Below are 27,019 nucleotides of genomic sequence, written 5' to 3' on the forward strand. Positions count from 1 at the left end.
CCCTGAGAAGGTTCTCTGCATCCCAGTTGGCACAACACAGGTAGTGGGACTGTCCTCAGATTGTGTCTTTGCCTTATACTGCCGTGCCAGGATCTCCCAATGGGCATATCTTTGGGGACAGACAAGTCTGCCTGAACTGCCCCCCAACACCTCTTCACAGGAGGACAGGGTTAGCCAGGAACCAAGGATGGCATGCTGTGCTGTAGAAATGCCTTTCATAGTATGCCAGGAGGTAGCAATAAGGTGTCTGAGTTGGGGTTTGCGTGAGTGCATTCGTCTGTGTGTGTACATGTGTATAAGGTAGTTTCCTTCTTCAGGGGTTGATTGTGAGGTCCAAGTTTTTCAACCTGTGCAGTTACTAAGAGTCAAATTATTTTTCGTTTTATTTTATTTTATTTTATTTTATTTTATTTTATTTTTTTGAGATGGAGTTTCTTTCTTCGTTCTTGTTGCCCAGGGTGGAGGAGTGCAATGGTGCCATCTCGGCTCACTGCAACCTCTGCCTCCTTGGTTCAAGCGATTCTCCTGCCTCAGCCTCCCGAGTAGCTGGGATTACAGGGGCCTGCTACCATGCCCGGCTAGTTTTTTGTTTGTTTGTTTGTTTGTTTTTTGTATTTTTAGTAGAGACAGGGTTTCACCATGTTGGCCAGGCTGGTCTCGAACTCCTGACCTAAGGTGATCCACCTGCCTCGGCCTCCCAAAGTGTTGGGATTACAGGCGTGAGCCACCGCGCCTGGCGATTATTTTTTAACTTTATTTTGAAATAACTTTTGATTTAGAGAGAAGTTTGAAAATAGTACAGAGATTTCACATATACCCTTCATCTAGCTTTCTCTGATGTTAACAATTTAAATACGCGTTATGCATTTATCCAAACCAGGAAATTAACATTGGTTACAATAGTAATAACTGAACTACAGACTTTGTTTGGATTTCACCAGTTTTTCTACTACTGCCCTTTTTCTATCGTAGGATCCCATCCAAAATCCCATGTTGTATTTAGTTGTCATGTCTCAGTCTCCAATCTGTGATTGTTCCTTAGTCTTTCCTTATCTTTCATGATCTTGACATTTTTATGAGTATTTTGATGAATGCTCCTCAGTTTGGGTTGGCATGATTTTTCTCACAATTAGATTGCGTTATGCACTTTTTGGTAATGATACCTTAGAAGTGATGCATTCTCTGGGCATCATACCAGTGGGTACATGATGCTGATGTGTCTTATTACTGGTGATGTTAACCTTGATCATTTGTCAAGTTGGTGTCTGTGGAATTTCTCTGCTGTAAAGGTACTATTTTTTCCTCTGTCACTAATAAATATCTTAAGGGAGGTTCTTCGAGATTATACAAAATCCTGTGTCTCCTCAAATTTTTATTCACTGATTTTAGCATTCATCACTAGGTCTTGACTGAAACAATTATTACTGCAGTTTGCCTAGTGATGATTTTGCATTTTCTGATTCCTTCAACATTTATTAATTGGAATTCTTCTGAGAAGAAGAGCTTCCCCTCCACATCTATTTATTAATGTATGCAATTGTTAACTTATATCAGTACAGGTTCATACATACTTATTTTATTTCATCAGTTATAAACTAATGCTATCCATCTTTATTTTGTTGCTCCAGTTATTCTAGCTCAAACCAAGTTATTTTTCACTTTAAGGATAGAGAATGTAGATATCCAGGGTAAGGGCCTTTATCTGTCTCTGCAGTCAGGGCTAGAGGAGTCTGTGTTTACCCCTGCGGGAGGAGTGCCAGTCACAGCTCGTTGCTAAGTTTTCCATCAGGCAGCAGTTGAGCAGGAACGCAAGCAGGGACTGGTGGGACCTGGGTTGGGACTGAAGCTTCTGTTGGGGAAGGAAGTGCCCCAAGCAACCCAGAGTGTCTGATGCTGGGGTCCTCATCCCTGAGACCTACTGCAGGGGTCAGATCTCAGTCTCCATGGGCATGGCCCTTCATATATAGCCCTCAGGGCCAAGACCTCAGAGAGAAGAGGCCCTGCGTGTGAGGAAACCCGGCAGCCTCCTGCCCTGAGGCTAAAGGAGCAGGAAGGGCAACAAATGCTCTGCTCTGGAGAGGGCCTAAGTTCATCTGCAGGGCCACAGGGCAAGCAGCAGAGGCAATCCTGGCTCGTGGCCAGGGGCTAAGCATGGGCTGGCCTTTGCCTCAAGCATGTCCTCTTCTCCCATGGAGCATCATTAGGGTCTTGACCTTCCCATCAGTCCATGGGCTGGGAAAACTGAGGCAGTCACCTCTAAGCTGGATACCACTTCTGCCAGGTCTTGTGCTCCAGAGGCCCTGGGGGAACCTTGTGTGTTAAGGACCAGCCTTCTTTGCAGGCCACCAGTGATCTAAGACAGGGCTGCTGCCACACCGTAGATCCTCCTGTCCTCTTCTGCAGCTGGGCTGCCTCCTCTAGGAACCCTAGTGGAGCTGCTGGTAGCCCACTGGTAGTGGAGTTGATGGAGCCTCCAGCAAAGGGCCTGGACCTCTGGTGGCACTAGCCTTGTGCTTTCCTGGGAACTGGGGTCAGGGCCTGAACAGCAGTAGGACTTACTGATTCCCCACCCATAACCCAGAGGCGAGCCAGGTTATGTGGCGAAGGATAAGGCCTCTTCCCCTGCTAACGGGGAACTTCTGGGAGGCACTGAGAGCAGCAAGCAAGGGAATAATGAAACAGACTAACCCTCACATGCGGCTGCCACTATGTGGGACTTCACATAGCGGCTCTCAAGGATGCACCTCCCCTGGGGTCTGGGTAGGCCCCGACAAAAGGGGAAAACCTTCCGTGATAGGCAGGTTTGTGGAGTTTCTATCAGGCCTGCAGGCTGCCCTGGGACATTGCTCACGGGTGTGGAGACTGTCAAGATAGCCTGAATATTAACCAAGTTGATCATCCAAGTCCATACTCAGACCTGCCCTCTGGCAGATTCCAAAGGGGATAAGGTGTGGGGGCCTCTGGCTCCAGCCAGCCCGGCGAGACTTCTATTTCCAGTCAATGCTTCAGAAAGTAGATCTTGCCAGAGAGCACATAGAGGAGACTCAGGGGCTTCCCCTTGCTCTGGCCTGAATGTGCTTCCCTGTTTGTTTATCAGCTGCCTCACCCCAAACTGTTTGCCTCTCTGCTGTGTTCCTCTGACAACAGCCACCAGGATCTCAGAATATGCTTTTGTTCAGAGGCTGCTTCACCTGCACCTCCTGCCAAGTTTCTGGATAAACAGACTTTGTCCATCCCTCTTGGTGGGCAGCAGAACTCTCAGACAGAGTCCAAGGTGGCATTTTGACAAAAACAAGGCTTTGACAGGACTGGTCAGGGGGAGCTGCAGGTACCTTGGGCCTCTAGAAGGACTGTAATTCCTCCCTTATGGCAGGCTGCATTCAATTTAGGTGTAAGACTAATACAGGTGTGCCTTGTTTTCTAAAGCTGTGTTGTGGTTTTATGCATGTCTCTGGAGTCCAAAAGAAAGGCAAGGATCCCCATTTGGAATGAAGAAGGTGTGGAGAGAATGGACGTTCTGGGGAAAGGCTGGAATGACCCACATGCTCTAGCAAGAAGCACAGACAGTCCAAGGCTGGTGGCTCCTGCTCAGCATTTGCAAGACTGGAGGGCAGGTTCAGGCGGCAACTTCCAGAGCTTCCCCTCAGTGCTTGGTGACTGGCACAGACACGATGCCATTTGCTCATGTTCCCCTAATACAGACTGGTAGAGCTGTGGTGGATCCATTGTCAGGATGCAAGGGGCACAGCCAGGTCCCTGAGTGACCCTTCTCCTTCCCACAGCCCCTCCACTCCCATCCCTATCTTCCCACTCACACTCACTGGTTCTTCTGCTTTGGTTTAGCCTCCAATGATCACAGAACTCATCAGTGAGGCTTTTCCATCTGTGGTAGCTTTTCTAATATAAAGAAAGAAAGATACTGAGAACATTTTAAGGCTTAGCAGCCTTCTGGCTTAGTTGTTTGTAAATGAAAATATGAGTAGAAGAATTAAACAGCCAAAAAGATAACCCACAAAATGGGAGAAAATATTGACAAATCATATATCTGATAAAGGATTTGTATCTAGAATATAAAAATAACTCTGATAACTCAGCAATAAAAAGACAACCTGATTTAAAAATGGATAAAATCATTTGCCCATTTTGGAGAATAGATGTTTTGCCAAAGAAATACAAATCAATTAGCACATGAAAAGATTCTGAGACTTCGAAGTTAGCAGTGTGAGGAGCGCCAGCGCCATAGACCAGCTCCTCAGTGAAACAGCCATAACTGGTGAAAATACACACACACACACACACATTTAGAGTCTCTGGAAGTTGTCCTAAGGGCATATATTTATTCAAGAAAGTCGACTATACCTTGGCAAGAACAGTGAAGTCTATGATATTTGAGTCATAACTCCTTCAGCCCTCCCCTTCCCCTTCCTCCCAGCACAAGAAAAATGGAAGTTCCACTCTAGGTGGGTATGGCCAAGAAAATACTGTTCTCTCTCCCATCAGCTTCCAAGGAAGGGCTACAGCAGCCCACCAAGAGGGACAACCAATGCCCATCCCCCACCCATCCCTGTATTCTCTTAGCTCCAAACCACAGAAGGTAAAATCCTCGTGAGTGCAACCAGGGGATCATAGGTTCCCATCCTCCACCCACCGCCTATTCATATAGTAGAGACTCTACTCCAGGTGCCACAAGTTGAGAATATTAGAGCCTTGATTGCCCTTATCCCAGCTCATTCATACGGCAGAGATTCCACACCAAGCTCCCACTTCCACTCAGTGTCTGACTCATAAAGTAGGGGTGTCATTCTGAGATAAATGGGCCGCTTTCCCTGCCTACCTCTCTACAACAGGAGCTCAGATATTTTGCCCAGCGGGGAGAGATAATCCAAAAGAACAGAGTTCTAAAGCTGTCCCCACAGGAACGAACTTTATTTGAAATAGAGTGTGTGAAAGGACAGCCTAAGATTGCTCTCAAGAACAATGGAGAATTTAGTGGTAAGCAACTAAAAGGATTCTGGTAACTCCATTAGAGCAACAAATGAACCCATAATGCAGCTAGTTTACCAGGAAAAAACAGAAAACAAACAAACAAACAAAACAAGAAAGAGACAGCTAAGAGCAGCCCTTCTGGAGTCAAAACAAACCTTATAGATTTGCCTCAAAAACTACCACTGCAAAGAGGCTTGACGTCAACTGGATTAGACTGTGGGACAATATATGCCCCCAGGGCATTATTGAAATGAATGAGGCAACTGGCTAGCAATTAGTGAGGCTAACAGCTGGGTGTGATACCAGCAGACACAGACAGCTTAATAGAAAGATCAGACTGGCGTGGTGGCTCATGCCTGTAATCCTAGCACTTTGGGAGGCCAAGGCGGGTGGATCACCTGAGGCCGGGAGTTTGAGACCAGCCTGGCTAATGTGGGGAAACCCCATCTCTACTAAAAATACAAAAATTAGCTGGGCATGGTGGCAGGTCCCTGTAATCCCAGCTACTCAGGAGGCCGAGGCAGGAGAATTGCTGGAACCCAGGAGGTGGAGGTTGCAGTGAGCCGAGATCATGCCACTGTACTCTAGCTTGGGCAACAGAGTGAGACTTCATCTCGGAAAAGAAGAAGAAGAAAGATCAGGGAAATGGGGGTGGAAGAATGTGACAGTACCTAATTTCTACAATATATTATCTAAAATGTCCAGTTTTTAACCAGAAATTACGAGATATGCAGAGAAACAGAAAAATATGACCTATACATGGGGGGAAAACGTGGGCAACAGTAACTGCCTGAGAGGGTCCACATGTCAGATTTTAACAGACTTTAAGGCATAAGGCAGCCATTATAAATATGTTCAAAGAATGAAAGGAAGTCATGCTTTTAAAAGTATGATGACAATATTGCATCAAATAGAGAATAGCAATAAAGAGAGAAAAATTACATTTATATTTTTAAAAGCTGAGCCAGACATGATGGCATGTGCCTATAGTCCCAGTTACTCAGGAGGCTGAGGTAGGAGGATTGCTTAAGCCCAGGAGTTCAACCCCAGCCTGGGCAACAGAAAGAGACCTTGTCTCTTAAACAAACAAAACAACTGAATAGAACTTCTGGAGTAAAAGTATACAATAATTGAAATTTAAAAGTAACTCAAGGGCCTTAACAGAAGATTTGAACAGGCAAAAGAAAGAATCAGCAAACTTGAAGATAGAGGATTGGAAATTATGCAATCCAAAGAACAGAGAGGAAAAAGGGAATAAAGAAAATGTATAGAGTCTCAGAGAAATGGGGAACACCATTAAACATAGCAATATATGCATAATAGAATTACTAGGAGAGGAGAGAGAGAGAAAAGGGCAGAAAAAATGCTCAAAGAAATAATGACTGAAAACTTCCCAAATTTGGTGGAAAACATTAATCTACACCTTTCAGAAGCTCAACAAACTCCAAATAGAATGATCACAAAGAGATCCACACCCTGATATATCATGGTAAAACTGCTTAAATAAAAAAAGAGACAAAAACGAAGGGAAAATTTTGAAAGCAGCAAATATATGACTAGGTACATACAAGAGAACTCCAATAAGATCAACGTTTGACTTCTCATTAGAAACCATAAAGGACAGAAGGCAGTGGAGTGGCATATTCTAAGTGCTGAAGGAAAAAAGAAACTGTCAACCAAGAATCATGCATCCAACAAAACTGTCTTTCAAAACTGAGATAAAGAAATTCAAAAATACACAAAACTTGAGAGAATTGTTTCTAGCAGTGATGTCTTACAAGAAATATTAAAGGAGGCACTTCAGAAATAAATTTAACCAAAAATTTGCAAAATGTATACTTTAAAAACTATAAAATGTCATTGAAAGAAATTCCAGAAGGCCTTAACAAGTGGAAAAGCTTCCCATGTTCTGTTCATGGAGCAGAAGACTTATTGTTAGTATGGCAGTGCTCTCCAAATTGATCAATAGATTCAATGCAAAAGATGTTCAACATTAGTTATTAGAGAAATGCAATCAAAACCACAATGAGATACCTCTTTACACCCACTACAATGACTAAAATTAAAGACACACAATAACAAGTACTGGTAGGAATGTGGAGAAATTGAAACCCTCATTCATTGCTGTTGGGATTGTAAAATGGTGTAGCCACTTTGGAAAGCAGATTAGGAGTTCTGCAAAAGGTTGAGTATATACTTACCGTATGACCCAACAATTTCACTACTATGTATATACCCCAAAGAAATGAAAACATGTACACACAAAATGTTGTACATGAATGTTCACAGCAGCATTATTCATAGTAGCCAAAAAGTGGAAACAACCCAACTACTTATCAACTGATGAACAGATCATTGAAAACGTGGTAGACCCAAACCGTGAAATATATATATATATATATATATATATATATATATATATATATATATATATATATATATAGTTGTTGTTGTTGTTGTTGTTGAGATGGAGTCTCACTTTGTTGCCCAGGCTGGAGTGCAGTGGTGTGATCTCAGCTCACTGCAACCTCCACCTCCAGGCTCAAGCAACTCTCCTGCCTCAGTCTCCCAAGTAGCTGGGATTACAGGCACGTGCCACCGTGCCCAGCTAATTTTTGCATTTTTAGTAGAGACAGGGTTTCACCATGTTACCCAGGCTGGTCTTGAACTCCTGACCTCAGGTGACCCACCCGCCTCGGCCTCCCAAAGTGCTGGGATTACAGGTGTGACCCACCGCACCCAGCCCAAACCATGGCATATTATTAAACCATAAAAAGTAATGAAGTGCTGATACACTGCACAATGACATGGATGGACTTAGAAAAGGAGCTAAGTATAAGAAGCCAGTCATAAAACACTATATATTGTATGATTCCATTTATATGAAATGTCCAGAATAGGCAAATTCATAGAGACAGAAAGTAGATTAGTGGTTTCCAGGGGCTAGAGGAAGTAGCGAATGAGGAGTGACTGCTAACAGGTATGGGTTTTCTTTCAAGGGTGATGAAAATTCTAAAATCAGATCATTGCTGATGGTTGCTGAAGTCTGTGAATATACTAAAAATGATTGATTTGTATACTTTAAAAGAGTAAATGTTATGGTGTATAAATCATATCTCAATAAAGTTGTTACAAAAAAGTAATTAACTAGCCATGTTTGTTTTTGTTTTTCTTTGTTTTGTTTTTTCATATTGTCAAGGAATTCCCAGCTTTAAGTCACAATCAAGTGACAAAGATAGAACTGGGGTGGATGTATAGTCCATTATTAACTACTACTTCTTACTTTTCTCTAGAATAAAGGATAACTATGAGAGGATACTATAGAAATCAATCTTTTATTCTTAAAAGGACCATTGCTAATTTTTCACTCACAGTCATCTCTGGGATTGAATTCCATTTATCAAATCCCTTTTATAAGAGCTTTTCTAGCTTTTAGTAATGGACTGGAATAATTTTTATTTCTTAGAATTTCTTTCTCTTAGTCAGATTTAAGTGTAACCTGCTTTGCTTATTCGTCCATGTGTTCCAAGTCATGATTTTGCTCAGGACAAATAAAATGCTCTACTAGTATGAGCCTGGTAGAAAGGGAACTACCATTTAATGAGGCCTGTAATGTGTCAGACGCTCCACTGATATTTCCCATCCAATGCACACAACAAACCTAGGAGCAGGTATTATTGTCATCTTTTTGAAGGTGAAGAAGCAGGCTAATAGAGGTGAATGGATTGCCCAACATCACACAGTCCAAAGTTGCAGACCCCGAGAAAGCCTGTGTTCTTTGCTGAACACCAGGCTACCTTCCAGCGTTCTCAGTTCCGTGCAGGTCAGACGGGGTTCACTTATCTTTATGGTCCTTTATAGCTCTGGTAAAAACTAAAACTGCCAGACTTTGGCTACTTGGAGAGTTAGTTCAAGGCTGAGGGTGATTTTCCAAGTGCAATGCGTGATACTCCTCAGCCCAAGAACCACATTTTCCAGGCTGATTTTCTATGACTCCTAATTAATTGTTCAATATTCATTCAACAATTTGTTAAGCACCCACTGTGTGCCTAGCACTGTGCAAACACTAGTCATCTAAAATATGATTATACGGATTATTCAGGTTTTAGAACTCTGTCCTTCTGCTGGAGGATGGTGAGGAGGGGGTGCCTCTTTCCTCTCTAGCCAAAGAGCAAGGGTGAAGTGGCCCAGAACAGCGCCCACCCCACCCAGGGCTGCTGGCCTCATGCATGCACATGTGCACATCTGTCCTGTAAAGTATGCTTGACCTTGAGCTTTGTGAGGGCAGGGACCATGTCTTTCTTGTGCCCTACACAGAGCCTGGCCTGGAGCAGGTAGGTGCTGAATGTCAGTTGAATCAATGATTAAGCAATTTTTTTTTTTTTTTTTTTTTTTTTTTTTTTTTTTTTACCAATTCACTAGGAGAACTTGGGCTGGTTGCTTTATTGCTCTGTGCCTTCATTTCCTCATTTGTAAAACAAGGATAAGAGTACCCATCTCACATGCCAACCCTGAGATCCCCTGAGATAATACACGGCACTCAGTGAGCACTCCACACACTGTTACTGTCTTTCCCATTACTCCCTTTACTATAGGGAGCCATGGGAAGCGGCACATCCTTCTATGCCAAGAGTGACCTCCTATCCCCTATTACCTTGTCACCTGGATTTTTGTTTCTTAAATTAGAGCTGAAGGCCATGCGGCCCAGCTAAATGGAGCTCACTCTGCTCTGTTGTGAGAACCTTGGTCTGGGACCCTGCTGATGGGACAGACATAGTAACCCCGGGAGGCCCCATCAGAGGGGCAGGGAGAGGGGAGGTAAGCTATGTTTCAGAAATGTTAGGATTTGACTTGAAAGCACACCCCCAAAGCAATGCCAGCCAGCTCCTTACCAGGACATCTGCCATTAGCCTCTGAGCTGGTCATGTGTATGTATGTGTGTGTGCATGTATGTACAAACATGTGCAGGGACCCACAGGGACAGGTCTGTCCCATCAAGGAAAACACTGTCTCCCACTGGGCCCGCCATGTCACTGTTAACCACAGGGAGGTTTTGTGGCCCTGGCTAGCGGAGACCCAAGACATATCCCTCAAACCTGAAGGGCCCAGGGGCAGGCAGGGCCGGTTTCCTAAGAAAAGCCTTTTCTAAAGGACCCCTCTTAGGACTGGCAGCTGATTTACTGGACTCTAGCCCTTCGCTCCAGGTAGAACTTCATCTGCCAATCCTGTGTCCTAATACCAGGCCCCTCACAGCTTTCCAAAAAGACACTTGCGGCACCATAACTCCCCAAAGGAGAGCCCAGCCCTAGAATCAACCATGGGCAGCCATGCAGTCTAGCTGCCTTCCCCTGCTGGTTGTAAGCAGGGTCTCCAAAGGCAGATGGCACCCCTCATGGGCTTGGGGCAAACGGCCACTGCGTGTGCATGGCTCTTCCTGTGCTGCATGATGCTGACAGGGCTTCTTGGGCCCCTCTTCAGGGAGGGAATGGGACCGAAAGCCATCGATGCAGAGCCTACAGGAAGGAGAATGATGGGAGATGGCCCTCACCTCACCCCCCTTCCCAGTGTCCCCATTCAGAACTCCTGCATCTGCTTCATTTCCTGGAGGCCAGGTTTGATCCCCTGCCAGGGCCAGCTTCATGGGCATGCAACTGTGCAGTCACACAGAGCGCCACACTTGGTTTCAATGCTTTGCCATTGCTGTATTGAAATTCTTAATAATTTTTGACCAAGGAGTTCTGCATTTTCAGTTTGCCCTGGACCTTGCAAATTAAGTAGCCAGTTCCCAGTCCTACCCTTTGCTCATGCAATGCCTGGCTCCACATCTAACAGCCTTCCATTCCTTTCTATCTCTAAATCCTATCTATCCTGCCCTAAGGCAAAGTCCAGACAGAAAAATATTTGACAGACTACAAAGGAGAGCACATTATATTTGAAAGAGCTTTTCTGCTCAACTGCAGATGGAATGATGATGGTTGGCATGTTAATGCCTCTACCAATCTTGAGTTCTTCTTGGCTCAGTCTGAGGCTAAAGGCTGTGATGGAGGCCTTCTACTCCTAGTCCTGGGTAATTGTCTCCTGGTATCACATTCCTTGAAGAAGTGTAGGGCATCATATTTAATAAGCTCATTTTGTCCTGCCTTAGGGAGTATAGGTCCAAAGCAGGACACTGGTACAAGATTGGGTTCTGAGGCCCAAGTAGGTATCTATCATGCTCATTTACTTGCTATGACTTCAGACAAATCCCATTCTCACAGTCTCAGTTTAATCTTCTGCAAAATGGGTCACACCACATCATGAGGCTTTGGGCCTCAATTGCTCATCTCTCTAAGTCAGAAGCAGAACCCAAGCTTTTATCTGAAGCTTTGGACAATTATTTTTGGAGGGAGATGGCCATGAATGCAGGCACACGTCCTGTTTACCACTTCCGGTCTATGGACTGGCAGAACACATTAATCTGGCCATACAGTTTTAGAGGATTCATTTCCCTTTCTCCTGAAGCCCATGCAAGAGCCCCAGGCGAGGCAATCCTGCTCTGGGTACAGTCTGAGATTTATCCTTGGATTGTGCCTGAGCAGCAGAGCGCTAACTTCCTGGCCCGAGTTGTTTTTCTTCTGCAGAGCTGTGTTGGGCGTTGCCTGTGGCCAGCATTTGAGCACTGTGACAGGCGGCCTCATGAATCTTGCTATTGTCTCTAGGACAGGACTATTCTCGAGGACATTATCCTCAGCATCACAGAGTGGCTCCTTTGTGGAAGAAGTACATAGGAGACACTTCTTTCGGATCTCAGTATTCAGAACAACTGTGCTTCTGCGAATAAGCAGACTACTTCGGATACTGTAACCCTTCTGAGAGCTGAGCTGCTGGGATACGCAGAGCCAGTTTTGGAGCCCCGTCTGGCAAGCAGGCAGGCCCGTGGACAGGATAGTCTAGGGTCAGTCTTACCCCAGGCTTGGTTTTTGCAACTTCCCTCCTCTTTATTTTCCATTTTCCCCAATTCCCTTAGCTTTTTGTTTTACATTTTTCTCTTGTGTGTGTCTTTATAAACACCTCTGTCTGCTGCAGAATAAGGTGTGATATAAATATGTGAGTTTGTGCTTAAATCCACCACACTTTCAAGGGAGTTGTGAGGATTCAGAAGGAATTGTTTGGCGAATGCAGTAAAAGCAGCCCCATCCAAGATGGAGCTAGGGCTGGGTGGGAGGCAGGGGTCTTTCCTCCAGACTGGATCATCTCGCCACAGACAGCAGCCCCCAAAACCCAAGCCCAAAGTGCTCATTGGCATCTGTTTGTTTATTTATTTGTTTTTAATAAATGAAAGGTCACTAAACACACTTTGAAATTTTTGTCACCTCCCTTGAGATGTTGCTTAATTGACTTAAGTCAAACTGAAACTCTGGCTGAAACTCATTTTGTAGATGCACTGGCAGGGACTTGTTAGGGCAGCAGCATCCCACAGACCCTAGGGAATGGGAGGGACCACACTTCTGGAAAGACTGGATGGGAAGGAGGGTGTAGGGATGTAGGAGGGGAGCTAGGGAGCCCTGGAGAGGAGTAAGTAGGCCCCAGAACGATGGGGCCCCGAATCAGGCCACAAGCTTGGCCTAGGCGTGAGTGGACCAGGGACCACATGATTTCTCAGAGGGGCCTGCTCAGAAAATAAAGTCACAGAGCTCCTGGAACCACTTGCACTTTTCAACAAGGGAAAAGAAATTTTACGCCTGGACCAAGTGGCCATGCCCTCTGCCCTGCCCTTTGGGCTTTTCAAACACCTCCCCTCCGCACTAGGCTGGCTTCTGAAGATGCAGTGCCACCTTTACTTTGGACTGCCTCACAGCTGAGGGGTCACCAGTCACAGCCATGGCCTTGGCTGGCTTCTTGCTATGTAATGCGAGCGGAGTAGGAGCATCACCCTCCCTTTCCAAAGAGGATCCTGAGTTTCAGGGAGGGCAGTGACCTGCCCCAGGTTACTCTCCCCAGTCCCGGCACAGGCCAGTCAAACCCAGGGCTGCAAGGCCTATGCCCTTTGTACAAAGGCAATATCCTGGCCCAGGGGAGGAGAGTCTGCCCGCCAGCCGTGCTAATATTCCCTCAGAGCTGGGCTGGGGTTGAGGTCTGCCTCAGGGTTGGGCTCACGCTTCATGCTGTCTTCCTTGGCAGTGGAATCTGGTGTGTGAGGACAACTGGAAGGTGCCCCTCACCACCTCCCTGTTCTTCGTAGGCGTGCTCCTCGGCTCCTTCGTGTCCGGGCAGCTGTCAGACAGGTAAGCACATGGGAGGGGAGGAAGGTGGGATGGTGCCCCTTGTCAATCACTGCCTATCTTGGGGCTGGACTGAATTCAGGGTATTTCTACCCAGAGAAAGGGAGGACCCTCAGGCCACTGATTCAGTGATAGGAGGAGCCCCGATGTCTCCTATTCACCCCGCCCTCAGTCCCCTTCACCTGGACACACTTTTGTTCCATTCTCCCAGCCTCATGCTCCCAGGGCTTTGGCCAGTGGTGGGGAGGGGCCACTGACCCCACTGGAAAGTGGGGTCCTCATACCACAGACTCCTTGACAAAACATGACGCTGCCATCACCACTGCCCTCCCTGCTCCACCACCACCTCAGGGGTAGGGGTGGATGGCACAGGATCTGTCTGCAAACAGCCAGCAGCCAGACAGTGAGCCCCAACTGTGCACACACTGCTGCTGTGGCTTGGACCCTGGGCCAGGCACTGGGGCCACAGAGCTGATGCTGGCTCTGACCCTCATAGAGCTTACAGGCCTGAGGAGGCAGCATCACAGCACCAGGAGACAGTATTCCACAGGCCCCTGTATGTGCTGGGTGACCAGTGCAGGAAGGTGGGGGTACTAAATGGCAATGCTGGGGAAAGCCTCCCAGCCCAAGCCAACAGCCAGAGACATGAGTTTGGAAAATGGGGCGGGAAAGGCTGTTCTGCTCACACCTGTGCTCCATTCTATCCACTGGTCACTACCAGAATGTGAAGATAATACTTAAAACAACTTCAGTGTCACCAACAGACATTGCTGAAAGCTACACCTTCCCACAGAGCAGTGGTTTGCAATTTTTGTTGCACGCTACTCATCTGGGAAACTTTCCCAAATCCTAATACCCAAACTGTATCCCAAAATCTTGGGAGGTGGGGTGCTGGCATCAGTATTTTTTCCAAGCTCTCCGGGTGATTCCAAGTGCAGCCAAGGTTAAAAACCACTTGCAGAGTGACTCTTAGTTCTGGATTTACAGAATTTTCATGTTGCTGATTCAAGAAATATCTGCAATCTGTGCTGTACCCACTTTCCAGAAATGTGCTGGTAGCATCTATCTGTGGCTCCTTCTAAAGAGCATATTTCCACAAGGTCCTTGCGTACACTGCTCCATGCTTTTGAGACATGGTGTCTCCACAGGAAGCTGAGAATCTCAAAAGATATCTCCTGAGCAGATGGATGCCTGAGACCTCACCAAGGAGGAAGATGGGAGGATGTGACAGAGAAAAAAGTCTGCCAGAGCCCTGAAAAAACACTAAGTCTGCATTGATGCCTGACTCAGGGCTTGCAACACACCTTGGCAACCTACACATCTCATGTTTTGTGTTATACTGCATTCTCTAGGTTTGGCAGGAAGAACGTTCTCTTCGCAACCATGGCTGTACAGACTGGCTTCAGCTTCCTGCAGATTTTCTCCATCAGCTGGGAGATGTTCACTGTGTTATTTGTCATCGTGGGCATGGGCCAGATCTCCAACTATGTGGTAGCCTTCATACTAGGTAGGAATGGCTTCTGGGACATGGGGTGCTTCCCTCTAACCCTCTGAAAGGCCCAGAAAGAGGAAATCATTGGGCCATTGGGCTGTGCTTCCAAAGCCTTTGGATATATGTGTCTTGGGAGGGAGCCGTAGCCACAGCTCTTGGAGCAAGTCAGGGGCAGGGCAGGCACTCGCAGGGAGCCACCTCTGTGCTGAGCCCTGAAATGTGGTGGAGAAGAAGAGCAGGAGCCATTAAGAACCAGCTGCACAACAGCTGAGACACATTCTCTGGAGCACAGGGCTTAAGAGAGGCACAGAGGAGGACAGTTTAGGGGAAGGGCAGCCTGAGGATGTCTTTGATCTGAGTTGTGTAGGCTTGAGACTTCTTCCTGGTTGCTTGTGAAGAGACTTAGGGTAGTCACTGTGGCCAGTACACAGGTGGGGAGGCTCATGTCAGACAGGGGGAGTTCAGTGCCAGCCCGCCATCACTGGGCCTATCTGGCCTCACCCTGAGTTAGAGCCCACCCCAGAGCCTATCAGCTAAGCACAGGACAAGCCTCCCCACACTGATAGCCCCATCTCCTGTCAGGCTGCATGAGGAAGACTCATCAGTTACAAGGTCATGAAGAGGTCCCTGGGGCCCTCAGCAGCTTTTCCTGGGAGGGAGTTAGGTGAGCTCCAGGCGAGTTGATGAGGGTCATCCACAGGAGTGAGAGAGTGTGTTCTCTTGAGCCCAGCGAATGGGCAAATGAGAGAAGCAGAGGTGAGGGGTATCCCTGGGACAGTAGACACCAGTTCCCATCATCTCTAGGGTGATAATATATTCTAGGTGGCTCAGTACCATCCCAATTTGTCCCTATTGTCACAGTGTCATTATTAATAATACTCCTTTAATAGAAGTCTAACGATTCTTCTTGCCTCAAAAGTCCGAATCTGGTTAGGTGACTCTGATTGCTTTTTAAGAGTCTGAAGGACTCGTTGGCTTTGGAGATGCTGCACTGTCTTAATTGATGGTGTGTACACCTTCTGTCAAGTTGCCAGGATGGAAATATTCCAACTCTACTCCTTTAATTATTTGCGAAGAGCCCCGTGCCATGGGCTCAGCCTCAGTGTCTGCAGAGGGGAGAAGGGAGGAGACAAGGTGGGAAGAACATGCTGGAGCCACATGGTCCCAGCAGGTAGCACACTCTTCAGCAGGCCCCAGCGGGAGGAGGCTGCTCCCCTTCCTGCAGGGGGAAGGAGCGGGGCAAGATTTTCTTGAAGATCATTTGTGTAGAGGGCACAGGGAGCTTCAGGCCAGTGTTGTTGGAAACTGGAGGTTGGAGGAACTTAAGATAGAAATTGCAACCTCCTAGTCCCCAGTGGCTCCAAGAACACAAGGCAAAGCCTATTGTCTTCATGTTCAAAGTCCCCAGAATCCATCTTCCATGTGACGATCCTCCCTAAGCCTGAAAAACCCAACATGTGGCTCTGCTTGGGCCAGACACATACCAAAAGCCAAACAGGCCTCCCCAAAACGGAGGACTCTGACCAGCAGGCCCATATCCCAGGAGGACCTGAAGGACCATCTGGAACAGAAGGGTAGAGAGTCACGGTGAAGCCAGAGAAGCTCTCTCCGTGGGAATGGGAACAAGGTGGGACTTGTGCCAGGTGGTGGCATCCCCGGTTCTATAGAATGGGCAGCACTGAGATCTGCCTTTTTAGTGGCACAGGGTGATTCTGGAGCCTCCAAGCCTCCCCTGTGTGAGCGGGTGAGGCAGGGAGAGCATACCCCAGGCTTCCTACAGGAAAGGGCTGCCCTCCCCCGCCGGCTCTGACACTATCATCTACTCTCCTCCCAGTTCCCATGCAGCATGTGGTCCCACATGCAGGGTGAAGAAGGGTAAGAGGGCCAAGGGGAAAGTAAGGCCATGGAAGATCAGTCAAGCCAGCCAGTCAGTAGGTAAGACCCTGGGTGCAGCAGCCTCGCTATCAGCTGGGATCCAGGCCTCTCAGGGCTTGCTATCAGCCTGGGGCCAGGCCTGTTATAGGGTGCTCTGGGAGCCTCTTCATGGTAGTTTTACTCCATTGTGCTCTGCAGGAAATTACTGGCTTTTGTATCCTGGTATGAGACTCGTTGTGTTGGGTTCTCAGGTCTGAAAGTTTAAGTGTCCCTGAAAACCAGCCTGCTCTGGAATGGCTGGACGCCCCAGTCAGCACCTGGGGTTGGGGGACACAGTACAAAGGCAAGGTGGCTGCTAGCTTCCCTACAGTGCAGCAGTGCTCTCTGGTGTTTCTGGGATAAAATAGCTGAATTCCAGGTTGTATTTGACTAAAATAAACCAAAGGGTGTGGTCTGGGCTGAGGAGTTTGGTAGGTGCCTTCGCTTCCACCCTCTGGCCCTAAGGAAGGGTTGGCAAAGCTCTGCATGATAATTTCACATTAACTTGGGAAGCCAAATTACTCCCACTGTCAAAGTAGTGCAGAAATGAGTCCTTGTTTTGTGCTGCTTTTAAAAAATGATCAAGGCTGCCACAGTCGTAGCAGACTAGAAAAGAGAAAGAAAGAACAGTGCTACCCTACACAGCATAAAGCAGACATGCCTGGAAGTGATGGTGTTGCCGGAATGATGCTGGTTTAGGAGGAAATGACCACTCGGGACCAAGGACACTAACCCTACCCACGTTCCAGCTCCCCTCACAATCTCCTACTGTTGCCCAGAAATAATGCCCTCCACCTGTCAATAGCCTTCTGGGTAGAATGCCATCAGTATCCTCTCTTATCCCCCATAACTAGCTGCTTAAACACAAAAAGTGTTTCTGTATTTAATAACACAGAAAAAACTCTTGACTGATTCATTAATTCAGTATTTTTCAGTACTTCTAACATCAACCTCCATGTGACATTTCTTTGGGCATGCTGAACCATTTAAAGCTTTGCTTCCTCTGATGTCTAGAGGTTCCTCCTTTTGATAGGTGTGTAAGTGATGGCATCTTCCTTTACAACTCTGGCTACCAGGAAGCTCAGGCAAATTTGAAATTTAACTACATCAATGATGCAGCTTTTACCAGCCACATATATATATATTTTTTACTGTTTTTAAATTGAACAGTTGAAATATAATTTTGTCTTCGCCTGTTTAGGATGCCGTAACAAAATCCTATAGGCTGGGTGGTTTAAACAACCAAAATTTATTTTCCACAGTTGTGGAGGGTAGAAGTCCAAGATCAAAGTGCCAGCAGGGTTGGTGTCTGGTGAGGGTTCTCCCATTGGGTTGCAGATGGCTGCCTTCTCCCTAAGTCCTCACATGGTCTTTCCTCTGCGCAAGTGCTCAGAAAGAGGGAAAGCAAGAAAGAGAGAGTGAGCCATAGAGAGCTCACTCTCTGGTGTCTCTTCTTGTAAGAACACTAATCCTATACCCTATCAGGTCAGGGGATCAATGTATGAATAATAGAGGGACACAAACATTCAGTCCATGACAGATTTGCATACCATGATATTCACACTTTTAAAGTGTATAATTCAGTGGTGTTTAGCATATTCACAAAGTTGTACAGCCATCAACACTATCTAACTCCTCATCACCCTGAAAAGAAACCCTATACGAATTAGCAGTCATTTCCCTCTTCCCCTCGCCCCTGGCAACCACTAATTTACTTTCTGCCTTTAATGGATTTCCCTATTCCGCACATTTGATATAAACAGAATCATATATTATGTGGCCTTTGTGACTGACTCCACTTGTTTTCAAGGTTGATCCATGTTGTAACATGAATTAGTATTCCACTGGATGAAGACAACACATTTCGGTCATCCATTCATCAGTCATTGAACACCTGGGTGTTTCTACTTTGGGGCTGTTATGAATAATGCTATGAACATTGGAGAATAAGTATTTTTGTGGATATATGTTTTTAATTCTCTTGGGTATAAGGTAGGACCTCTGCTGGGTCCTATGGTGATTCTATATTTAACCTTTTGAGGAACTGCCAAACTGTTTTCAAAATAGTCAGCTGCGTATTTTTGATCTTTTCACCAAGGCACAACTTTTTACTTTTCTTTATATCTTACTTTAATGTTACCATTATTTTATTGTATTTAAATTTGAAGTTGCCTCAAAATCTCCAAGGGATGAGCTGGCATATAAATACGTAAACATGATGCAGAAATTTGCTGGCATACCTTATTTGCATTGCACCGTAAGAGGGAAGAACTGGGGAGACCCAGGGAAGAGCAAGAACTTACTCCTGTCTATTCACAAGGAGCTCACTGCCTGGTTGTGCCTCTGCAGCCAATGCAGCTGTCACTGTGGACATGGGGACATGGGTCAAGGGAGTGGGGCACATATTGCTGGGTATACACAGAGATAGGAAATGTTACTTTTGACTGGAGTGATTGGTGCAGACAGAGGGGAAGCCCTGAGCAGGGGAACATCTGTTAAGCCCTGAAGAGGAGTTCTGTCTTCCACTGGGCCTTTTTGGATCAAAAGCATTGTACTTTCCATCACTCCCCTGACATGTAGCACATTTCAACTGCTTGATCAGGATAAAGAATAACTATTACTGAGCACCTGCCACATGCCAGACACCCTCCTAGGCACTTTGCATACATGATCTCAGTCTTCATAATAATATCTCCATGAAAGACGGCTTATCACAGTCACTCTAGTAGCAACTCAGCATCAAGGAACCCAGGTTCTCCCCGTGCCAGATGGAGGACACTCCTAGCCCATGGTTCCTGGGTCTCGCCTCATATCCTGGCAGCTGCACTACAGTCTTGTTTCTTGAGCTGGGGTCTACTGAGAGCCTATGTTGGTCATTTATGAAGGTGCATGTCCTGCCTCTGTGTGGAATGGGCCCAGCGGTTCCTGGGGCAGGTACTGCTCTACATGGAAGGCAGCCTGGCCCTCTCTGAGTCACTCCCTCTTGGAGAGAGTGCTCAGATTCAGAGGGGTGTGACAGGTGGTGGGCAATACTCCTAGGGCTATGCTGGCCCTCATCCTAGCCAGGTCATGTCCCTTTGGCTTAGATGTCAAAGTTTCACTCCCAGGAGAAACTCAGAAGCCCAGCCAGACCAAGACCAACCAGGCTTTGCCCTAGAAGCAAAGCAGGCAGAAGAGGCAGATAGAGCATAGGGGGCCAGGACAGGGATCCCCCGTCAGCACAGCAGGAGTCACTGCTGTGTCATCTGTTTCACTGCCACATGGAAAGCTCATGGCAGCTGCAGGCCATAAAAGATCTGTGTAATCAGGGTTCTCTCCTAGCATTACTCAGAGGGGTCTGGCTGGCTTCCAGTGACAAGCCAAGGAAGGGAAAATGTAAATCCACTTCTGAAAGGGGGATAAGGTGGGTGGATCACCTGAGGTCAGGAGTTCAAGACCAGCCTGGCCAACATGGCAAAACCCCGTCTCTACTAAAAATACAAAAATTAGCCGGGCATGGTGGCAAGCGCCTGTAGTCCTAGCTACTTGGGAGGCTGAGGCAGGAAAATCGCTTGAACCCAGGAGGAAGAGGTTACAGTAAGCTGAGATTGCACCACTGCACTCTGGCCTAGGCAACAGAGCACAAGTCTGTCTCAAAAAAAAAAAAAAAAAGAAAAAAAAGAAAAACTGTAAAAATGACAGCAGGATATGGCCTTACCCATCTCCCCTCATGTCTCTACTGGACTCTCAGTTGAAGAACTGCTTTATAAGGCCAAGTCATGCCCCCAGTAATTTTTTTCTTGGAAGGTAGACCAGTATCCATAGAGCAAATAAGGCTTAAATCCTGGTGCACCACTTATTATGTGCATGAATTTAAGCAATTGGCTTTAACTCTGAAGTCTCAGCTAATTATGTGTAAAGTAGGAGGAATATTAGCTTTTGTTTTAGTTTTTGTTTTTGTTTGAGATGGAGTTTCGCTCTTGTTGCCCAGTCTGGAGTGCAGTGGCATGATCTCGGCTCACTGCAACCTCTGCCTCCTGGGTTCAAGCGATTATCCTGTCTCAGCCTCCCGAATAGGTGGGATTACAGGTGCCTGCCACCATGCCTGGCTAATTTTTGTATTCTTAGTAGAGACAGGTTTCATCATATTGGTCAGGCTGGTCTCAAACTCCTGACCTCAGGTGATCTGCCTGCCTTGGCTTCCCTAGTGCTGGGATTACAGGCATAAGCCACCGTGCCTGGCCTGGAATATTAGTTTTTATATAACTGGTGTGAAGGGTCAAAGAGATAATATATGTAAACACTTAGCCTGGAACCTGTCTCAAAGTACCTACTCAAAAAAATGCTAGCTGTGAAGATGGTGATCCTGTTTAAGGAAGGGTGACTGCCTAAAAGAGAGCAGAAAGTAGGACTAAAAAGGAATTATTTCAATTTGTACCATCCATGCTGTCCACAGGAAGGCAAAGAGAGAGACCTACAAAGTCTCTGTCCCCAACATGCACTCTGCAAAGTTATATAACTGTTCTGGTCTGAGACCCATGCTTAGAGAGGGAGATTATCCAGGAACCCAGTAGTATAACTTCTCTTTTCTTAACAAGGTCATGAAGGTAGGAGAAAGCTCCTCTGGCCTCACAATTCTACAAGATTCTCACTTGATCCTGCGCCCTTTCTCTTTTCCAAAATCAAACCCTCTGCCACTGAATCTCTGCTTAAGAATAAAGCACCTTCTATTTATTTCCACATCACAATCACGGCCAAGGGGTTTAGAAACCAGTGCATAGCAGGAAGGTCATTAATGAGGTCAGAAAAGACCTGGAAATCATACTCATGATCCTCAAAGAAGTCAGGCCCTATCCTTGGAAATGGGTTTATAGGCTGAGCAATGCTCTGGGTGGTTAGGGCAATTGTCTCCAACATGGGATGCAGGAGGCACAAAGTACTGGCTGTTTCTATCAGTCCAGGTTTTTAAATGGCCTCTTGAGAGGGACCCACTGAGGCAGATCTCTCAGTTATGAACAGTGAAGGGGAATGAGTGGGGTGGGATGGGAACAGATAGGTGGTAAAATGAGAAACCAGCCAACATAGTAATTTTGCTGCTTCTCTGGAATTAGCTCTTAATCCCTTAGCCTGTGCCTAGGGCATATAAACATGACTGAGAAAATCTCTCTTAAAAGGCAAGCATGAATGACCTTTGAATTATCTGTTTTGTATCTTCCAGGCCACTTCTCTATAGCATGGGCAGATCCCCAACAAAAGGCAGAGCCATTGCCATTGGTCACATCTCCGCCCCAGGTGTAGTGAACCAAGGGCAGACTCTGTGGAAAGGGCCCAGAGCTCCGTGACAAGAGAAGGAGCTTTGTTCTTGGACTCCCATCTGGTGCCATCTCTGCTCACTGTGGCACTGAGCAGAGCAGAGGCCAATAGTCGCCTGCATGTCCTTTCCCAAAAAGCAGTGCCCGCACCAAGCAGTCATGGGCCTTTCTGCTGTTCAGGGAAAGCACTGTGAGTTCAATGGGTGTGTGGACAGGTCTAGGGCTGCTGCCTGCAGGGGCAGCAGAACAGCGCCTGCTTTTCTTTCCTTGGTCCAAATGGACTGTGGACTGTGTCTGCCTGGGCTGATCTCTGGGCACAGCATGCTGCAGGAAGGCCTGTCTGTGTACCTCCAGAGCCAGCTCACTCCAACTGATTTCTCAGGGCTCAGGCATGGGTAAGTGTGCCCTGAGGTCTTGGAAATGATGAACTCTCCACTGCTTCCTGATGGGCCAATGTCTGTTTATTTACAGTTCAGAACTGTTGGAAAGGCTACACACACCTTGACCCCACATGGCCCCTCAGAAGAGCCACTGCTTGTCTCCTGAAATGCTCTCTCTGCTTCTCATGTTGGGGCTCTTATTTTGGAAATGTGGCATTCTCAGAAGGGATTAGCTCTTGGGGCTGGGCATGATATTTTTATGACATGGAATGGCCTTAAAATAAGTTGGCCAGGCGCGGTGGCTCATGACTGTAATCCCAACATTTTGGGAGGCCAAGGCAGGTAGATCACTTGAGGTCAGGAGTTCAAGACCAGCCTGGCCAACATGGCGAAACTCTGTCTCTACTAAAAATACAAAAATTAGCCAGGCGTGGTGGTGCACGCCTGTAGTTCCAGCTGTTCGGAAGGCTGAAGTGGGAAGGTCACTTGAGCTTGGGAGGCAGAGGTTGCAATGAGCTGAGATCACGCCACTGCACTGCAGCCCGGGCAACAGAGGGAGACTTTGTCTCAAAAATAATAATAATAATAATAAATTAATTAAAAATAAATAAATAAATCTATGGCTCCATTAAAATCTCATAGAAATTCAACCTTCTATAAGTTGCCAAGTCTTGGATCACGTCCCACCTTCCTCTACCCTGACCATGCCTGCTCTGGGCCATGAGGCAAATGCCTTTCCCCTTTTCTAAGTGGTGATAGTTTGAACTCTAACTGCCACATAATGATATAAAAAGCAAATATTAAAGTGAGTTAATATGCTAATACTCCTCCCTTGTTTTGAACAGGAACAGAAATTCTTGGCAAGTCAGTTCGTATTATATTCTCTACATTAGGAGTGTGCACATTTTTTGCAGTTGGCTATATGCTGCTGCCACTGTTTGCTTACTTCATCAGAGACTGGCGGATGCTGCTGCTGGCGCTGACGGTGCCGGGAGTGCTGTGTGTCCCGCTGTGGTGGTGAGTGTGACTCGTCCCCAGACAGGCCCTCTGCTGCGGGTCAGCACACCTGGAACACACCTGGAGCCTGATGCTGACCTAGCCTGGGCTTGCATGACCTCCACGGAACTCGCGGAGGCCAGCTTCCAAGCCGGGAGAGTTTTTGCCTCATTGTGGGTGGGCCTGTGTGCTGGAGTTTGAGTCTCCATTGTCCTAAAAAGCACATTCTCAGGATTCCAATCTCTTCCTTGATACCAGCCACTCCTGTCTGTTGCTACTTGTTATTTGTGGAGCTGGTGGTGTTGGATTTTGTTGTTTTTAACTCTGCCCCCTGCTCTTTCATCACTTTTCTCTCTCTAGAAAAATCTCACTCTATCCAACTAATGTAATTCTTCAAGCTTCCCTATCATATAACGATTAGCATCTATGAAAGGGAAGCCTATTTATTAGCACTATGATAGTGTGCCTATTTATCTGCTATGTCTCGAAGAGTGAGAAAATTACTTTTTATTTAATAAATTGTTAGAGAAATGTCCTCTTCTCTCCTCCCACAACCTCCCAACTCAGTTTTAACACAACAGTTATAGGAATAACAAAGTTTGAAGATTCTGGCCTCAGTCTTGCCCAATATGACTATCTGGGGGATTTCAGGTGAAAGAATAAATTAAAAATCATAGAACAAGGTGTCAGACATACCCTCTTTTTGGAGATTTCCTGTTCCTTTGCTTTTTCATATTTAAGCAAGAGAAAAGGAGATTCCTTCCATTGGTGGGTCTGGTTCTGTCTCTCTCTCATTCTCTTTCTCTCTCATTAATTCTTCTTTGTTTGATTTCATTATATCAAAGTCAAATCTTCCAGCACTGACTGGTTTCACCGAACTGCATAACTTCTACCTGCTTACACATAACACAAGCTTCTTTGACCATTTTTTGGAACTCACAATTTAGACTAGACCTCATGGTTGCCCTGTCCTTTGGATACCTCCTGACTGGGAAGCTGTCTAGGCCTTTATCTTACTGCAGCTGTTAGGCAGTCATAGAGGTTGACAGGCAGGCCACCTGTCTGACGAGATAGCGCAGGTCAGGTGGGCTCACTCTAAGCCCCTGTATTCTCATGACCTGTAAGAGTGCTGTGATTTACTAGTGTAAATTATTGGCATGAAGTGTGCAGGGGGAGTTGACAGTTTGTTAAAGGTTATGTATTATTCTGATTTGCAACATTCCTCTGGAACCCTGTCTGAGGACCGGGAAACCCGGCCTGAGGAGCAGTGAATAAGGGCTGGCCATTATCTACATAGCTGTGCCTCCAAGGAAAGCATCCCAGACTTACAAGAGCAGAGCAATTTTCTGAATGAGAGTAATTATCATCATCATCATCTGTCCTTCTCTCCACAACTCCCTTGCTAGCTGAATTTATTGGAAAAGATGTTAGTGACTAAGGTTCTCTCAAGACACATGACAAGATTATTCAAAGGTTCTTTTCTGCCTCTTCAGCTGAATGGTTTTAATAAACTATGTTCTCTGGCTCTAGTTGTCATTTTGACCTAAGAGACCAGTACTTTCAAAATGTTATAATTAGCCAGGTATGGTGATTCACACCTGTAATCCCAGCACTTTGGGAGGCCAAGGTGGGAGGATCACTTTAGCCCAGCAGTTCAAAACCAGCCTGGGCAACATGGCAAAACCCTGTCTGTACTAAAAATAAAAAATTAGCTGGGTGCAGTGGTGAGCGCCTGTAGTCCCAGCTACTTAGGAGGCAGAGGTGGGAGGGTCCCTTGAGCCTGGGAGTTCAAGATTACAGTGCGCTATATGATCATGCCACTGCACTCCAGCCCAGATAGAATGAGATGCTGTCTCAAAAAAAAAGTTATAATCAATCTGATTAAGGTATGATTCTATCAGAGAGAAAGAGAGAGAGAGAATAACAATATAAAGCCTCTGATGGGCTGTACAGAGATTAGTAGGGATGGGATCTTTGCCTCGGGACCATATGTCACAGCGAGGAACGAACAGCTCTGATCCATTAGCCCTCCAGAGTCAGCCTCCAGAGTTTCCAGCAGAGAAGGTCCATCCCACAGGGAGCCTGCTCACTGTGCCCTAAGGAGAGCTTTTTCTTCTATTCCCCAGGAGCTGGTCCATGAATGCTCCTGGCTGTGGGCATACTGTACCAGGGACAGGACTTGCCCCAGACAGAGGCCAGCCTGGGACCAGCACTGACAAGCTGAGTGCTCCCCCTGAACATTTACCAGTGGTCTTACCATTTTCCTATAAAAGAAAATAGCTTTCTTCTGAACATCCCATCCTTGCAGGTGGGTCTTCCCAAAGGGATGCTCATCAGTCTAGTGGTTGGGGTATGGAGGGATGCTTAGAGCTGACATGGACCCTGCCGCCTGCTCAGTATGAGACAAGCTCTCCAGCAACACCTCACTGCTGTTTAGTCTGAATTCAATCTACAGAGAGATTATAGTGTGCTACCTCATTTGGCACTCCATTGACTTTTGAAATGATCAGCTAGATTTGAGATTATGTGCACCAAAAAAAAATCAAAGCAATTCAAAACTAGAGATACCAGTGGCCCTGAGTACAGTGGGCTAGAAATGGGAGGTAAACCTACATAGAGGCACTGCTGGTGGTTTGGGGGACTTTTTATGTCCCAAGTTTCCTTTAAAAGGCTTGGCAGTAAGTGGCCACAGGTGTGAATGGAGTATGTGTATAGGCGGTGGGGATGGGGTAGGGAAGCAGGCCATAGATGCAATGTGAGGAAAGCTATGCAATTTCTAGCTGATTAAACATTAAGAATCTGAGGCCAGTGGTCTGTAGAAAAAAAGGTAGGATATTTCTAAGCATAATCTGGTTGGAGAAAGATACTGGCCCCATCCATGAGGTATATCGTGGCTGTGTAGTAAGATCTCTAATTCTGCACTAATATAGTAGCCACCAGCCACATGCAGCTATTTAAGTTAAAATTAATTAAAAGTAAATAAAATTGAATTTTCATTTCTTCAATCACACTAGCTCAATAGCTACATGTGGTTAGTGGGTGCTGTCTTAGTACAGATACAGAACATTTCAGAAGTTTCTATCGGACAGCACAGTTCTAATTACTGAGAGTCAGTGACCTAACATTATTGTAGTTCCTATAGGGACCCACTAAAGGCATATTCTGAAAAATGCAAACTAGGCTCATTTTTCAACTCATGTGCTATTAAGCTGGAGAGGGGACCTGCTGGTTGGTCATTTGTTTTGCTCTGAGCTAATTCCTAGTGTGGGTTTGGGGCCAATTAACTACACAGGACTCTGTGTCTGCTACTTATAATTTGTTGTCTAGGCTAAGTAAGTACAGATGCTCTTTGACTTATAATGGGGTTACATCCCAATAAGCCCATTGTAAATTGAGAATATTCTAGGTCAATACACCTAACCTACTGAGGTAGGAGGCCAGACACGACTCCAGAGGCAGGGCTTGGACACTGGACCAAATTGAGGACCAGCTAAAACACAGCCAGGGCAGAAGACGCTTTCCATAAGACACGCCCACCCGTGTGCCATGTCAGTTTACTGTTGCCATGACAACACTCAGGCTTTATTGCCCCTTTCCATGGCAATGACCCAATGACCCAAAAATTACTACCCTTTCCCTAGAAATTTCTGCATAAACTGACCTTTCATCTACATGTAATTAAAAGTAGTTATAAATATG

The 27,019-nt window shown here is 46.2% G+C and overlaps 1 protein-coding gene and 1 long non-coding RNA gene across 6 annotated transcripts in view, besides 3 other annotated features; one reads left to right on the plus strand and one right to left on the minus strand.

Annotated features, from left to right (window-relative positions):
- SLC22A4 (solute carrier family 22 member 4) overlaps nt 1–27,019 on the plus strand; it is a 49,797-nt gene that overhangs the window by 4,621 nt on the left and 18,157 nt on the right. For 3 of the 5 annotated variants that reach the window (NM_003059.3, XM_047417594.1, XM_017009776.2), the window contains exons 2-4: nt 13,147–13,250; nt 14,600–14,754; nt 23,170–23,341. In NM_003059.3, the coding sequence (NP_003050.2) occupies nt 13,147–13,250; nt 14,600–14,754; nt 23,170–23,341 (431 nt within the window). The remainder of the gene's footprint in view (nt 1–13,146; nt 13,251–14,599; nt 14,755–23,169; nt 23,342–27,019) is intronic. The other 2 variants (XM_006714675.5, XM_011543589.3) reach the window with 2 other exon arrangements.
- The window catches only part of MIR3936HG (MIR3936 host gene), a 58,641-nt gene continuing 43,883 nt past the window's right edge, over nt 12,262–27,019 (minus strand). The window contains exon 8 of the long non-coding RNA NR_110997.1: nt 12,262–13,239. This is a non-coding gene — a long non-coding RNA (MIR3936 host gene). The remainder of the gene's footprint in view (nt 13,240–27,019) is intronic.
- Nucleotides 22,186–22,686: an enhancer, noted in NCBI's record as "H3K27ac hESC enhancer chr5:131656893-131657393 (GRCh37/hg19 assembly coordinates)". NCBI's record gives its function as "activates a minimal SCP1, AML or CMV promoter by ChIP-STARR-seq in primed H9 embryonic stem cells {active_cell/tissue: H9 hESC(primed)}" and the evidence as "EXISTENCE:reporter gene assay evidence [ECO:0000049][PMID:30033119]".
- Nucleotides 22,843–23,361: an enhancer, noted in NCBI's record as "H3K27ac-H3K4me1 hESC enhancer chr5:131657550-131658068 (GRCh37/hg19 assembly coordinates)". NCBI's record gives its function as "activates a minimal SCP1, AML or CMV promoter by ChIP-STARR-seq in naive H9 embryonic stem cells {active_cell/tissue: H9 hESC(naive)}" and the evidence as "EXISTENCE:reporter gene assay evidence [ECO:0000049][PMID:30033119]".
- Nucleotides 23,362–23,880: an enhancer, noted in NCBI's record as "H3K27ac-H3K4me1 hESC enhancer chr5:131658069-131658587 (GRCh37/hg19 assembly coordinates)". NCBI's record gives its function as "activates a minimal SCP1, AML or CMV promoter by ChIP-STARR-seq in naive H9 embryonic stem cells {active_cell/tissue: H9 hESC(naive)}" and the evidence as "EXISTENCE:reporter gene assay evidence [ECO:0000049][PMID:30033119]".

Source organism: Homo sapiens, chromosome 5 (assembly GCF_000001405.40).
Source record: "Homo sapiens chromosome 5, GRCh38.p14 Primary Assembly".
In the NCBI taxonomy this organism is placed as follows: domain Eukaryota; kingdom Metazoa; phylum Chordata; class Mammalia; order Primates; family Hominidae; genus Homo; species Homo sapiens.